Here is a 15,283-nt window from a genome sequence, read left to right as displayed (position 1 = left end):
CTCTGCCAGGCTTTTTTCCAGATGCTTTTACCAACATTACTTCACTAAACCTGCACAATGCTATGAAGTTCTTATTTCAAAGACAAAACAGGCTTAGGGACTCTATCTCCAAAATAATAATTATATATAATTATCTGGCACTTACTACATGCCAAACTCTGCTCTAAGTACCTTAAATATGCATATACTGACTCATTTAATTCTCACAACAGCCCTATAAAGTACGTGATACTCTAACAGACCAGCAAACCAATGGAAGAAGTCACTGAGTCACCTGCCCAGGGTCACACAGCTGTTAAGCAGAGGATTTAAACCAAGCTTGTCCAACCCGCAGCCTAGGATGGCTTTGAATGTGGCCCAAGACAAATTTGTAAAGTTTCTTAAAGCATTATGGGATTTTTTTTTTTACTATTTCTTTCTTTTTAGCTCATCAGCTACTGTTAGTGTTAGTGTATTTTATGTGTGCCCCAAGACAATTCTTCCAGTGTGGCCCAGGGAAGCCAAAATACTGAACACCTCTGCAAGGTACTCTGCCCTTAGTCACTGAGCTCTACTGCAAAATGACTACCTGGGCTTTTGTTTCTTTTATTTTACCTTTTTTTCTGTGTTACTTCTCCAAGAAGACTGGAAAATTTACCACCTGGGCTTTTGTTTCTTTTATTTTATCCTTTTTTGTTTGTTTGTTTTTGCATTATTCCTCCAATAAGACTGGATACTCTTGAGGACCAGTTTTCATACCCCCATTCAGCCATCAGTATTATGAGCCAGCTAGGCAGTCATCAATAAATGAGTCTCGTGTGATACGCAAGAGATCCAAGTGTAGGGGGCTTCTCACTCTCAGTTCCACTACCCTGCCCAGGCCTCCAGCTTCTCCCACCTCAGTGCCCCAAGAAAGCCCTGACCAGCCTGTATGTGTCCATTCCAGGGATATGTGAGGGCAGACTAGGACAGTCTGAAAATGGTCTCACATAAGATCAGAATCCTTAACTTCCCATTTCCAAGCCACTGGAGAGCAAACTCACAGCAGCTGCGCTGCCAAATCTTGCTTCATTCCCCTACCTGCCTGCCTGGTGTCCATGACAGTTAGGAAGCCTGCCTCCTACTAGACTCAGGAGAGACCTTAGAAGCCACCATCAATCAGTATGTCAGCACATGAGAGGGCATCTACAACCACTCCTGCCCTACAGGATAAAAAACAAGCCCTTTAGCTAGCTCATCCAACCTTTTCGTGTCAAAAAACTTGGTGTCACCCTTCAAGGCTCAGCTCACATACCACTTCCAATGTTAAACCTTAGGAAAATACCCTGGTTTTAAGTATCTGGTTAATGGTAAGTTATATCCAAGTTTACAGTGGATATAAAAATCACCTAAAACCCTAACCAAAATACTGGCATGGCCAACTAGGGAACATAAAATTTCAGATTAGTGATTTAATAAGATTGTCCCGAAAGGACATTTCACTCTGAAATATGCAGAATGGGTATGGGCTTAAACTTAAAAAAAAAAGCTATATAATCAGTGATTCTTGGAAACAAAATAATCTGAGAAGGCAGAGCACTCTGTACCATTCTAACTTATAAGCCGATTTTCTCTTTCTCTCCCTGGCCAGATAGTTGTTCTTCATCTCAAAAATCAACAACCTGCCTGTCTCTCTCTGATACATGGCTCAAGACATTAGCCTAAGAATAAAGATTAAAATAATGAGGATTGCCTCAAGGTAGTGACAGATATTTCAGAAAACAGCGTCCACTTGCTAGGAAAGGGTGTCATAGGTATCTGGGCTGGCAACACAACCTGCGTCCTCTGAGATCAGACCCTCAACTCTGAGTCCGGCAGTCAGTCATTGAGGACCAATGAGTCTGGGCCAACTGATATGCCTTACCTGTCTTGTTACCATAGAGAAATAAAAGGATTACTCGTAAGTGAAATTTTCAACTAACACATTTCCCAGTACCAAAACATTAAAATGGTAGCTGTTTAAAAAGTGTATACTGGACATAATCTAGCCTTTTCTAGACATCCCAGGATCACACTGAAGTATGCTTCTACACTAAATAGCCTCAGACTATTTCCTCTGCATGAAGCTCCCCCGCTCACCCTCACCTCTACCTAGGAAGAACTGAGAGGAAAAGCAGATAACCAAGCTTATGCAACACACCAGCTGAATTCAGACACAATTCTAAGTCAAAGTGCTCTGGCTTTCCTTGCAAGGAGGCAGGAGGCAGGGAAAGAAACCTCAATGTACTGAGGACCTGTGGTGGGAGGCACCCTACTAATACTACATAATCTCACTTAAACAACCCAGGACATGGTAGTGATCTTTTATTTTAAAGATAAGGCAAATGACTCCTGGCAAAGTTGTTGGCTCACTCAAGGCCACACAGCTGGCAGGTGGTAGGGAGGGTAGGGCTGGGTCCTGACCTCCTGACTCCACATCACAGCATCCTTCCAAGAGAGGTCTTTCCAGAGAACACTGACACAGGCAGCAGAGCTTAGAACTCTTCTCAACACAGCTTCCCAGAGCAAGGATTTCCTTAGTTTTAGAGAAATAATTCCTTCCATCATCTTTTTAACCATCAAATCTTTTAAAAGTTAAAATTTATTGATTAATGCAAATGATTAATACAGTGAAAATAGGTATCTTATATGAGATATGTGAATGCACCTTTAACTGTGGTCCTGTGATCAAACTAGAATTTGCACTAGTTTTCAATCTTAAACAATGAAATTAAATTTGACTATACAAAAGGGGAGATCACCAATCTAATGACCTAACAAAACTATTACTTCAATCACTCTTTTAAGGTTAAATAAAGCAAACACAAAAAAGCATGGAAATGTTAAGTAACTGAACTTTTCATAGAAACTACATAACAATTATTAAGATAAAAACATAATGGCAAGTATATGCTAATTCATTTTACACAGTTTTATCAACACTCCTGTTTAAATTATAACAAACGTCAGATAAATTTAACCCTATGCACACAGTACTCATTCAATGAATAAACTTTTTAGTATGAGTCTATAAAAATGTCAAGCAGCCAGGTGCAGTGGCTTGCACCTATAATTCCGGCTGCTTGGGAGGCTGAGACAAGAGGATCATTTGAGCCCATGAATTCAAGACCAGCCTGGGAAACAAAGCAATATCCCATCTCTTTAAAAAACAAAACAAAACAAAACAAAAAACACTGAGCGTGGTGGCTTGTATCTCCAATTCCAGCTACTCCAGAGGCTCAGGTAAAGTTCACAGTTGCAGTAAGCTATGCTTGTGCCACTACACTCCAACCTGGGCAACAGAGCAAGACTCTTTATAAAAAAAAAGTTAAACAACTGCAAAAAAAATTTATATGTATATATGAAACACCAGCACCCATTTCCACTCAGTTAAGAATGCACTTGTAATTCATCTGACCTCCACTTTTATGCATAGAAAAAAAGTTTATTTTAAGAAATATAAAATATATCTAAAGCTTCACCAAAGTACAATACGAACTTTAACTTTTTATATTTGGATTATTTCCTGCAAAAATAAGGTGGTGATTTAATTTCTTATTTCAAAGTCCACATGCAAGGATGTGCCCAACAACTACAAATAATCTTTTCTAAAAACTGCACCCATTCCAGCTGGGCCCATAGCTTTCTTCTTGCCACTATTTATTAAGCAAAAAACCTACTGGCCTGATAAAACAGGTTTCTCCTTTCACATATTAAAATATAATTATAAAACCTGATCCTCTTTGGACTTCCTTGGATTTGTACCAAAAATGCTGTATCTTTCTAGAGTAAACTGAGAGGTTTTTTTTTTTTTAACCATTATTCTACCTTAAGAAATGTCTCATCTGAAGAAGCAAAGAGATACACCCTAAAATTCCAGCAACCACAGGCTTCAAAAGCCTTTGGCTCAGATGCAGGATAAATCTTTGGAAAGCCCAGGGTACAATGTGACCTGGGTGTACAAACTTAGACCTTGCTCACTAGGCAGGTCAAAGAATTTTTCTCTCAGGACATCCCGAAAACATCAAACAGATTCATGAGATGAAATTTCCTTGTCCCTGCAGCCTCAACATGATTTTATGATATTCCTGACACAGTTTATATATACAATTCAGATGCAAAATCTTGGTGGCAACAAGGACTGCTACTTGTCCATTAACTTAATACTTATTTTCGCTGAGAAATACGAATTTCTCAATCATTTCGAAGTCCATTTAACAAACAACTAAGAAAACTTGCAGATTGTTCTGTATTTCTTAGATGAAAGGAGAAAACTCTTATATCAACTGTTCATTAAGAAGGAAATATTAAGAGCAGTTAGCATTATAAGAGGAGGAAGGCTCTTCTTAAGTCCAGTTTATGAATGCATAGCTAAAGACCTGAATTTCCTTCCCTTCCCCTTTATTTTACTAGCTGAGATGAATTACTCCTTGACAGACAGCACAAACTGGTATATACTTCATTTGTTATGACTGTCATTTATACAAAGGGGTGTATTCCTTTGCCTTCCCATGTGGCTTTGTATAGTACAGACATCAAAACATCAAACACCCAGGAGCAAAACGTCTGACAAGGCCTGCCCAAGGAGAAAACAAGCTTTCCCAAAGCTGAAGCCTAGCCTGGGGGCCCTCAATGGGGCTGAGCTAGTGTCTGTTAGTCCTGAGCCTACCACAATGCTTAGGGATGAACCTGGGGGTGGCAAGCTTCTCCACCCAAACTGAAGAGGTGACACATTAAAAAGGAAAGATTTACATGTGCAGGTGGGTTCAGTAAAACCTATCTGCCACAGTATCTTCTACTCACCCACAAAGGATCCTATAACTCCTATCCACTCACCAATGACCCAGAAATCATGAAAAGAGGCCAACTTATAAGCTAATCAGAGTAGGCTCCTGAGACGACTACGGCTCCTGCTGTCTCTGCCCCACCCCTTCCAGATGGCTATCCCTAGCGCATCACCACAGTCCTCCCCAAACCCAGATGCTGGAAACCATCACTAGGTTCTGGCAGGCTTCTGAGGCATGCTGTAGCCCCATGATATGTCCAAGATGAGATGGAAAACAGTGCCACACACTGGAGGTGGACACAGAGGGTCCATCCTTGCTCTCCCACTGTCCTGGACGTGGCCCACCCTCCTGTTGCTTCCACTGAAGCTCAGGAAGGGGAACTCTTCCAGCTTTTTTTTTTTTTTTTTTCTAAAAGGCCCTCTTATGCACAATTCCAGAAGAATCAAGTTTCTGAAGCAATGCCTGAACGAGAGCCACAGCACACGGGAGGCCCGGCTCTCTTGCAGACATCATGCAAAATGAGTCACTGCATCTACGTCTTCTGCTATTGCTGCTGCCACCCTTGCTCAGAGTAAATGAGGAAGACAACTGATTCACATGGGATCCGTGGAAACTGATGTGTAAGATCAGCACAGCAACAGGGAAGGGGGCGTCCAGTAAGAGTTCCTCACACGGGCCCCTTCCCTAGAGGGGCAGAAAGGCTCCTGTCAGGATTTGTGTGGTAGTTGGAGTGGGAGGAGGAAGGAGCAACAACAGAAAGGGGAAGGAAACAGAGATGTTAAAACAAAACAAAACAAATAAAACAAAACAAAAAAACACCAAAAACAATACTGGTGGGGGAAACAAATTCTCAACTCAACCAGATCCTTGCAGTAATTCTCCAAGGGGCAAGGACTCCTTCCTCTCATTTGACCCCAAAAGGAAATGTCTGAACAGATCCCTTCTCTCTCCCTGCCCACCCTGATTCAAGGAGATCTCAGGTACAAAGCAAGATAGAAAGCTTCGCTCTCCTGACCCTCCAGCTCTCCAAGAGGAACTTAAGTCTCAGATATCCCTGCCTTTTTTTTTTTTTTTTTTTTTTTTGAGACAGTCTTGCTCTGTCGCCCAGGCTGGAGTGCAGTGGCATGATTTGGGCTCACTGCAACCTCCACTTCCTGGGTTCAAGCGACTCTCCTGCCTCAGCCTCGCAAGTGGCTGGGATGACAGGCATGCGCCACCACACCCAGCTAATTTTTTTGTATTGTTAGTAGAGATGGGCTTTCATCATATTGGCCAGGCTAGGATGGTCTCAAACGCCTGATCTCAAGTGATCCACCCGCCTTGGCCTCACAAAGTACTGGGATTACTAGGTAAGCCACCACTCCCGGCTGCCCCTGCTTCTGTCTTCCCGACTCTCCATACAAAACTTGCCAGTTACTCCTTAGCTGCCTGAGGCCCACAGCCTCCCCTAATGTCACATGAACATGTCTGCACGAGACCCAAGGCCAAGCTCAAGAGGAATTCTTTCTAGTACATCCCTGTCACTAGGCACTACCTACCTGGCAAAGTACTTATGTGGCCTGACTTCAGGAGAGCTACAGACCTCTCACCTTCAATTTTCTCTCCCACATACTTCTGAAACGGACCATGCCACTGTGAGGCTTCAGGTAGGTTTCTCAGCCCTGGCACTACTGGCATTTTGAGCTGGACACATCTGCTGTGGGCCTCTCCTATGCACTGCAGGATATTTAGCACTGCACACCAGCCTGGGTGACAGAGGAAGACTCTGTCTCAAAAAACAAAACAAAACAAAAAAAAACACTAACATGGTGAAAGACTCATCCCAACAATTTTTCACTACAGTAGCTGAGGTACATCATGCACTACACACATACTTGATTCTTTCTTCCAGACGTTGCCTTGTGAATTGGATTTTGAACTGTGCTCCTGCCATGGCCTTAAGAATGACCAAGAAGTCCTTGTGGCTTGATGACATCTGATGTCTTTGAGACTCACACAGCAGGCAGTTGGCAAGGCAGCGGGCTTACTCACACAGGCAGGGGTTCCACGAGTCACCCCAATGACTACAGCCTGAATGAACTGCTGTTCCTCGTGGGCACTCCTAGCTCTGCAGGCAGAGCGAGGACATACAAGCATAGCTTTTAAAGTGCTTAATGGTGATTACACTCGTTTGGTGATTCACTAAGCAGTACAGAATGTGCCCAATTATACACTCTATTTTTTTCCAATCTTATTTCATAAACCCCAATTTCACAGGAACATAGATTTTCCATCCAAACAAAATTATCTAACTTTAACAATTAAAATACTAATTATCCTCAAAATCCTCCTTTGAAATGGGGCTTTAAATAAGATATGACTTAAATAGGCATTTTAATATTTTTGGTTGTATCATTCATTGAAACATCTAAGAAGTGCCTTCATTTTGGATAACGTGGGAGGCTACAGGCAAAGAGAGTATTGAATGTCAGCAATAAAACACTATTCAATAAAAACACCAGTATAGGCTCTGTATCAAATAAAACTTTTATCAAGTAAAAACATTTACGATATTAATTTTCTTCTCCCCTACTCCCACCCCAGGTTAAAAACTACAACTTGAAATCTTTTCATAATAAGCTGCCAACAGCAGCAGCTATTGACTAAGAGAAAGAAAAATAAAAGAAAATTGTTATTACTATAAACAAATTATTCGTTCTTTCCAAGATAAATAATGACTTGATGTTCTCATTCTCACAATCAGAAGCGTGGCTTCATAATACTAATTATCTCAGCTCCACCAGAAAACCATCATGCATTCAAACCCATTTGCTGTGTACAGCCCTACCATCTACCAGCTATAAAGTAATATGGGAGAAATACAGGGGTCCTATCTGCAAAAAGCAGGTCACTTCAGTTTTTGGGAGAAACTTCTGCATCCCACATGGAATAAAAAGATGCCACTTACCACCAGATATTTTCCTACTAAAAAAAATTTTCTCCCTCCTATTTAAGAAAAACGATAGACAAAAATTGTATCATATTAAAGTGTTAAGGGAAAATGATCCACATGTAAAAACAAATCAAAAGGCACATGAAACCACGTTAAGACCTCAAAGACAGGAATTAGTCAATTATATTATGTATTTCTGGGCTCCTGAGTACAAGCATAGTCTGTTTTTCTGACCCAAAAATCTAATAAAAGAATTTATTAACTTAAAGATCTAACAGAGGACACTGTTAGAAATTGGTCTGGGGAAGGCACCATGCTCTTGGCCAAGGAATTATTTAACTCTTCTGCACTAAGAATGGATCTGTGATGATTCACTATGACTACAGCAAATCAAGCTTGGCCCTATCCTTTGAATTTAACCTGTAAGGACAGACAGGTTTAGGATATGAAACCTCAAGAAGATGGTGCCACATCTTAGCTTGCCATGTACAGAAGACTGATTTGCCAGGCTTTGCAACCAAGCTTAAGTGAGATTTAGGCATTAAGACACGCCAAATTAAAACTCTTAAGGACCATTAATCACATCCTCATGACTTCAGATACACCAATACAACATATGCTTATGTAGGTCTGGTCTTTATTCTTAATCAGGGGTATTAGCTTCCTACTGCAACAGTCTATAGAAGGAATTGTTTCAAAAGTGGGGCAAGCATGGTTCAGTCCATTCATTATTTTTAGTAATTAAAAAATACAGATATGACTATGAAAGTTTTGTTATTCTTAGACGCAAATAAACAGATGGCCAGTGAGGAAATGAGATCAACTTTACATCTGAGAATACACTATATTCCACTTTCAGTTTCTGAATGTCAAAGCTTGGGAGATAAATCCAAGAATCCAACCTGTAACTAGAATAGGAAAACTATTTTTATTTCATTTGTTTGGCATATTCCAACTGTTAAGAAGTAGAATAAAGAGAAGTAATGCCTAGCAGGGCACAAAGCACTTAGTTGGTATTTAATAAGTATTATTTGATGACTAAAGAATGAGAAGAGCCAATTATTCCAACAAAGACTAACATATTGAAAATTCAGGTGTCTCTTCTTCAAATCACAAATGTCCTAAGTTAGAAAGTAAAGAATGCCACGTCTGTGTTACATAAACAGAATGCTTCCTGCCTTGCCCCCACGGTTACACTGATTTCTTTTTTCCTCTTCCTATACAGTCTCTGCTTTAAAGAGTAATATAGTAGCAGATTTTGGCATTGGCATCATATTTATTATGGATTCCATCTATGATAGAGGAACAACTAGAAAACCAGGCAAAACACAAGACAACTGTTTTCAGACATTGGACAACAGGCAGTATAGGACTTAATTTCTGAGAACAGTGAAACATATGAGACAAGCCTTGAACTTATTTGCCTGAACTTACTGCCAGGAGGTAGTGTCCAAGCCACAGCAAAGAGAAGGGGGAACACAGAGCATGTCAGTCTTACTGAGTAGAGGTAACACAGATTAGTAATCAGAGAAGCCACATTCAAGGAGGCCAAAACGGCTAGAATTGGAAGGGCAGAACACCCAGGAGAAGAGAGCAGCACAAAAGGGTCGGTTCCTAGAGTCTTAGACTGATCTGCACATCTCTCAAAGGAAACTACTTAAAGTTAGGGATACGAGCACCAGAAAGCAGTTGGCCTAAGAAGTCCTACAGTTCACATAAAGCTAGCAATAGTTCATGTTTCCACCAGCAACAAAAACAAAAATAATTCACAAGACACACAACATCAGGTAAAGTCCTCAGAAGAATACTGCCTTACGGCAGATAAGTACTCGGGCTACATCATTCCTAATGGGTGCTCTGGAGCCAGCCTAACAAAGTTTACATGCTAGCTTCAAAACGATACCACTGATTCCAAGTAACTTAACTGCATGCCAGAACAAAGTCTAGCGCTTTTGAAAAGAATACAACAAAATCTAGCACTCAATGAAGTAAAATTCCCTCTCCTTCATCTGCTGCTGCTGCCTCCTTCTTCTGTGGCTCCTGGTGCTGCTCATGTGCTCGTTCAGTGTGGACCTGATATCTCTTTTGTGAAGCGGCAGCTGAGGAGAAACCGGTGCTCATCATGGCTGACAAAAAGCCCCAGGAAGGAGTCAAGACTAAGAACAATCATATTAATTTGAAGGTGGTGGGGCAGGGTGGTTCTGTGGTGCAGTTTAAGATTAAGAGGCATACACCACTTAGTAAACTAATGAAAGCCTATTGTGAATGACAGGGATTGTCCATGAGGCAGATCAGACTCTGATTTGACCGGCAACCAAATCAATGAAAAAGACACACCTGTACAGTTGGAAATGGAGAATGAAGATACGATTGACGTGTTCCAACAGCAGATGGGAGGTGTCTACTGAGAAGGGAACCTGCTTCTTCATTCCAGAACTCTGTTCTCGCAGACCACGATTACCTTCTCAAGTAGAAAACTGCAATTTGGTTCCAATACATCCCTGACTACTACAGCATAGTTTTCTCTGTTTGTTCATTTCCTCCTTCTCCATTCTTTTACTGTACATAAAAGTAACTGGTATATGTGCACAAGCACACTGCATTTTTTTTTTAACAGCCAACGGTATGTTTTGATTGACATCAAGTGGAGACGGGATGGGGAAAAACACTGATTCTGTGAAAACACCCCCACTCTCCATTAGTGGCATGCTCATCCTGCTCTTCATATTCCAGTAAGTTATTTTGCTCTGTTTTAACAACAACAAACAAACAAACAAAAAACCCATAAAAATCCTTGCATACCTTGTTCAACTGGAGAATTTTCATGTTTTTAATTGATCACTGTAAAACCAAGGACAATTTTATAACTTTTTTGTATGTAGCTGTTATATGTAGGGCAATCTGTCTTTATCTAGGGATAAACTACTCTAAAAAAAAAAGAATCCTATATAGTTTTCTCTTTAAGTCAAGCGTCTTACTGTTTAAATAAACTTCTTGTTTAATATGAAAAAAAAACTATGTAAAATTCACAATGCCTGGTATCCAAGTAAAAATTACCAGGCATAGCAAAGGAACAGGAAAATATGACCCATAAAAATGAAAATAATCAATCAATTAACAGACCCAGAAATGAGACAAGATGATGGGACTAGCAGACAAGGGCACTGAACTAGCTATTATAACAGTGCAGCTTCTTTAAAAAACAACTTGGCAGTTCCTCAAAAGGTTAAAGAGAGTTACCACATGACCCAGCAATTCCCTCCTAGGCATATACCCAAAGACATTAAAATAATATGTCCACATAAAAACTGGTAACAAATGTTCACAGCAGCATTATTCATAATAGCTAAAAACTGGAAACAATTCAAATGCCCAGCAACTGATGAATAAATAAAATGTAGTATATCCATATAATGGATTATTATTTAGCAATAAAAAGAAATTAAGTACTGATAAATGCTACCAACATGGATGAACCTGGAAAACATACTAAGTGAAAGAAGGCACTCACAAAGTACTACCTATTATATGATTCCATTGATATGAAATGTCCAGAAGAGTCCCTATAGACTGACATTTCATATCAATATAGGCTGAAAAGGAGTGGGGTACATGGGAAATGACCGCTAATGGATACAAGGTTTCTTTGTGGGGTGACGAAAGTATTCTAAAATTAGATTGTGGTTGCACAACAGATAGTTGCACAACTCTGTGAATATACTAAAAACCATCAATTTGCAAACTTTAAATTGGTAAATTATATGGCAATGTGAATTAGGTCTCAACAAAGCTGTTAAAAAGTTATAAATATGGCTGGGCGCAGTGGCTCACACCTGTAATCCCAGCACTTTGAGAAGCAGAGTTGGGAGGATTGCTTGAGGCCAGGAGTTGAGACCAGCCTGGCCAACACAGCGAAACCCCATTTCTACTAAAAAATACAAACATTGGCCGGGTGTGGTGGCTCACGCCTGTAATCCCAGCACTTTTGGGAGGCAGAGGCGGGTGGATCACAAGGTCAGGAGATCGAGACCATCTTGGCTAACATGGTGAAACCCCGTCTCTAAAAAATAAAAAAATTAGCCAGGCGTGGTGGTGGGTGCCTGTAGTCCCAGCTACTCGGGAGGCTGAGGTAGGAGAATGGTGTGAACCCACGAGGCGGAGCTTGCAGTGAGCCGAGACTGCGCCACTGCACTCAAGCCTGGGCGACAGAATGAGACTCTATCTCAAAAAAAAAAAAAAAAAAAAAAAAAACCTTAGTTGGGCGTGATGGCACATACCTGTAGTCCCAGCTACTCAAGAGGCTGAGGTGGGAGAATCGCTTGAACTGGGGAGACAGAGGTTGCAATGAGCCAAGATTGCGCCATTGCACTCCAGCCTGGGTGACAGAGTGAGACTCATTCTCAAAGGAAAAAAAAAAATTATAAATATACTCTATGTAGTAAGAAGGTAGAGGGAAAAAAGGCAGGAAATTGGAAGATACAAAAGAAATAAACCCAGTGGTACTTCTAGTAAAGAAAAATAAATTTAAAAATACACTGGATGGGATTAACAGCAAATTAAACATTGCAGAAAGATCAGTAAATTATAAGACACAACAACAGCAACTAACCAACTAACCCAAATGAAGCACAGGGAAAGACTGAAAATGAAATTGAGAGTATCCAGTGATCTATGGGGACAATACTAAATTGTCTAACATATGTGTAATTGAGATCATAAAAGAAGAGGAAAGAGGGAGAGGATGGAAAAAAAATCTGAAGAAATAATGGCTGGATTTTAAATTTTTTTTATAAAAAACTATAAACACTCAGATCCAAGAAAAACTCAACAAACTCCAAAAAGAACAGATGTAATTAAAGAGGGCACATCACAATAATAAAAACCAGTGATACAAAAAAAAAATACTTAAAAGCGGCAGAAGAAAAAAGACATTAAGAGAAATATAGAATGAGCAAATCACTTTTCAGAGACTATGTGAGACAATGGAGGAACATCCTTACTAAGAGAGGGAAAAAGCTACCAATCTAGAAATTTATACCTATTAAAAGTGTCTTTCAAAAACGAAGATAAAATAAAGACTCTTTCAGGCAAACAAAAATGAGAATCAATGCCAGCAGTGGTACATTCAAAGAGATATTTTAAAAAGTAGTTTCATCAAGCAGAGAGAAAATGATACCAGATGGGCATCTGAACTTAAAGGAATGAAGAGCGGGGAATGATCAATATATGAGTAAATATAGACAATATTTTCTTATCTTCAATCTCTTTAAAAGATAATGACTATCTAAGGCAAAAATAACAATATATTCTGGGGCTTATAACATACATGTAGAAGAAAATAGCACTAAGAATAATAAGGGAGAAGTGGCTGTATATTGTTTCAAGGATTTTATACTCCATGTAAAGTGGCAGAAGATTGACTATCATCAGTTAAAGATGTGTAAATCCTAGCGCAACCATTAAAAAATAACAAAGAGATGTACCTAATAAGCCAAGAGTGGAGATAACACGGGTTCATTAAAACCAAACAAAACCACCTAACTCAAGAGAAGGCAAGAAAAGGGGGAATAGGACACAAAGAACAAATGGGACAAATAGAAAACTAATAGCAAGATAACAGATTTAAACCCAAATATAATTACATTAAACAAAATGGTCTTTGAAAAAAACGCAAAAAATAAAAAACAAAAAAAAACCAAAACATCAACAAAAAACCCTCCAAATAAAAGCCAGAGATTGTCAGATTGGATTAAAAAACACCCAACAATTTGCTATCTGCATGGAATCCACTTTAAATATAAAGACACAGATAGATTAGAAGTACAAGGAAAAAAGATCTGCCATACAAACAGTAGTCAAAAGAAAGCTGGAGTAACTATATTATTAACAGTTATTAATGAACAGATTTCAACAACAAATACTGCCAAGGATGAAGAGAGACAATTCATAATAGAAGAGTCAATGTATCAGGAGGATATAACAACCTTAAATGTTAATCTGCCTAATAATAGATTTTCAAAATACATAAAGCAGTATACAATTATTATTTTTCAATTAAAGTTTGTTAAAAACATGAAGCAAAATCTAATAGAATTGAAGTAGACAAATCCACAATTACAGCTGGATATTTCAACATTCCTTTCACAGTAATTGATAGAACATGTAGTGAGAAAATGAACTTGACTAACTTGACCTAATTCACATTTATAGAACAAATCACCCAAAACAGCAGAAAACACATTCTTTTTAAGTACATGGAAAACATTCAATAAGATAGACAATATTCTTGGCTCATAAAACAAGTCTCAACAAATTTAAAACAACACAAAACAGATTCTCCAACCACAAAAGAATTTAGTTAGAAAACAGTAATAGAAAAATATCCAGAAAATCCTCCAAATACTTGGAAATTTAAAAATTAACTTCTAAACAAACTGCAGACCAAAGTAATTACAGGTAAAATAGAAACAATTTTGAATTGAATGCAAAAACAAACTTCACTGGATGCATCTATAGCAGTTGTAGCAAGGAATGTATAGCTTTCAACATTTATATTAGGAAGGAAGGTCTCAAGTAAATGATCTAAGGTTTCACCTTAAGATGCCAGAAAAAGAGCAAATTAAACCCACAACATGCAGAAGAAAAGAAATAAAAGATTAAAAGAGAAAAAAAAAATCAATGGAAGTAAAAACATAAAAGTAACGGGGGAAAAGTCAGTGGAAGCAAATGTTAATTCGTTTAAAAGATCAATGAAATTGCAAGGCACTAAACAGATAAGGAATGAGGGGGAAAGGGAGTTAAGACAAATTATCAACATCAGGAATGAAAATGAAATCACTACAGATGATATATCTATTAAAAGGATAATAAGAGAACATTATAAATGACTTTATGCCCATAAATTAGACAACTTAAATAAAATGGGCAAATTCCTTAAAAGACACAGACTACCAAAACTCATTCAAGAAGAAACAGACAAGCCAACAGCATTGTATCTATGAAATAAATTGAATTAGCAGTTAAACATTTCCTCACACACAAAAAAACTCCAGGCTCTGATGGCTTAACTGCCGTTGAATTCTACCAAACATTTAAGGAAGAGATACTACAGTGCTACCAGAGCAGAACAGGGAACACTTTCCAACTCATGTTATAAGACCACCATTACCCTGGTACCAAAAACAGGCAAAGATATTATAAGAAATGTATAGATCAATATTCCTCATGAAGACAGACACAAAAATCCTTAACAAAATTTTAGCTACTTGAATCTCATGGTAACATATCAAGACCAGGTGGGATTTATCCCAGGAATGTAAGGTTGGTTTAACATTGCAAATCAGTCAATGTATTTCATCATATTAAAAGACTGAAAAAGAAAAACCATCTGATCTTCTCAACAGGTGAGGAAAAAGCATCTGACAAAATTCAATATCCACTCATAATTTAAAAAACAAAAACTACTCAACACATAGGAATAGAGAAAACTACCTCAGCCTGATAAAGGAAATATGTGACAAACTTACACCTAACATGATACTTAACAGTGAAAGACTGAATGCTTTCC

The 15,283-nt window shown here is 38.8% G+C and overlaps 1 protein-coding gene and 1 pseudogene across 13 annotated transcripts in view; one reads left to right on the top strand and one right to left on the bottom strand.

Moving 5' to 3' along the window:
* FOXO3 (forkhead box O3) overlaps positions 1–15,283 on the bottom strand; it is a 124,950-nt gene that overhangs the window by 56,651 nt on the left and 53,016 nt on the right. The gene's annotated exons all lie outside the window — the stretch shown is intronic.
* On the top strand, positions 9,715–10,723 carry SUMO2P8 (SUMO2 pseudogene 8; annotated as a pseudogene).

The sequence above is a fragment of the Homo sapiens genome, chromosome 6 (assembly GCF_000001405.40).
Source record: "Homo sapiens chromosome 6, GRCh38.p14 Primary Assembly".
NCBI lineage: Eukaryota > Metazoa > Chordata > Mammalia > Primates > Hominidae > Homo > Homo sapiens.
The sequence above is the reverse complement of the archived record's forward strand: the minus strand, read 5'-3'. Positions and strand labels throughout refer to the sequence as shown.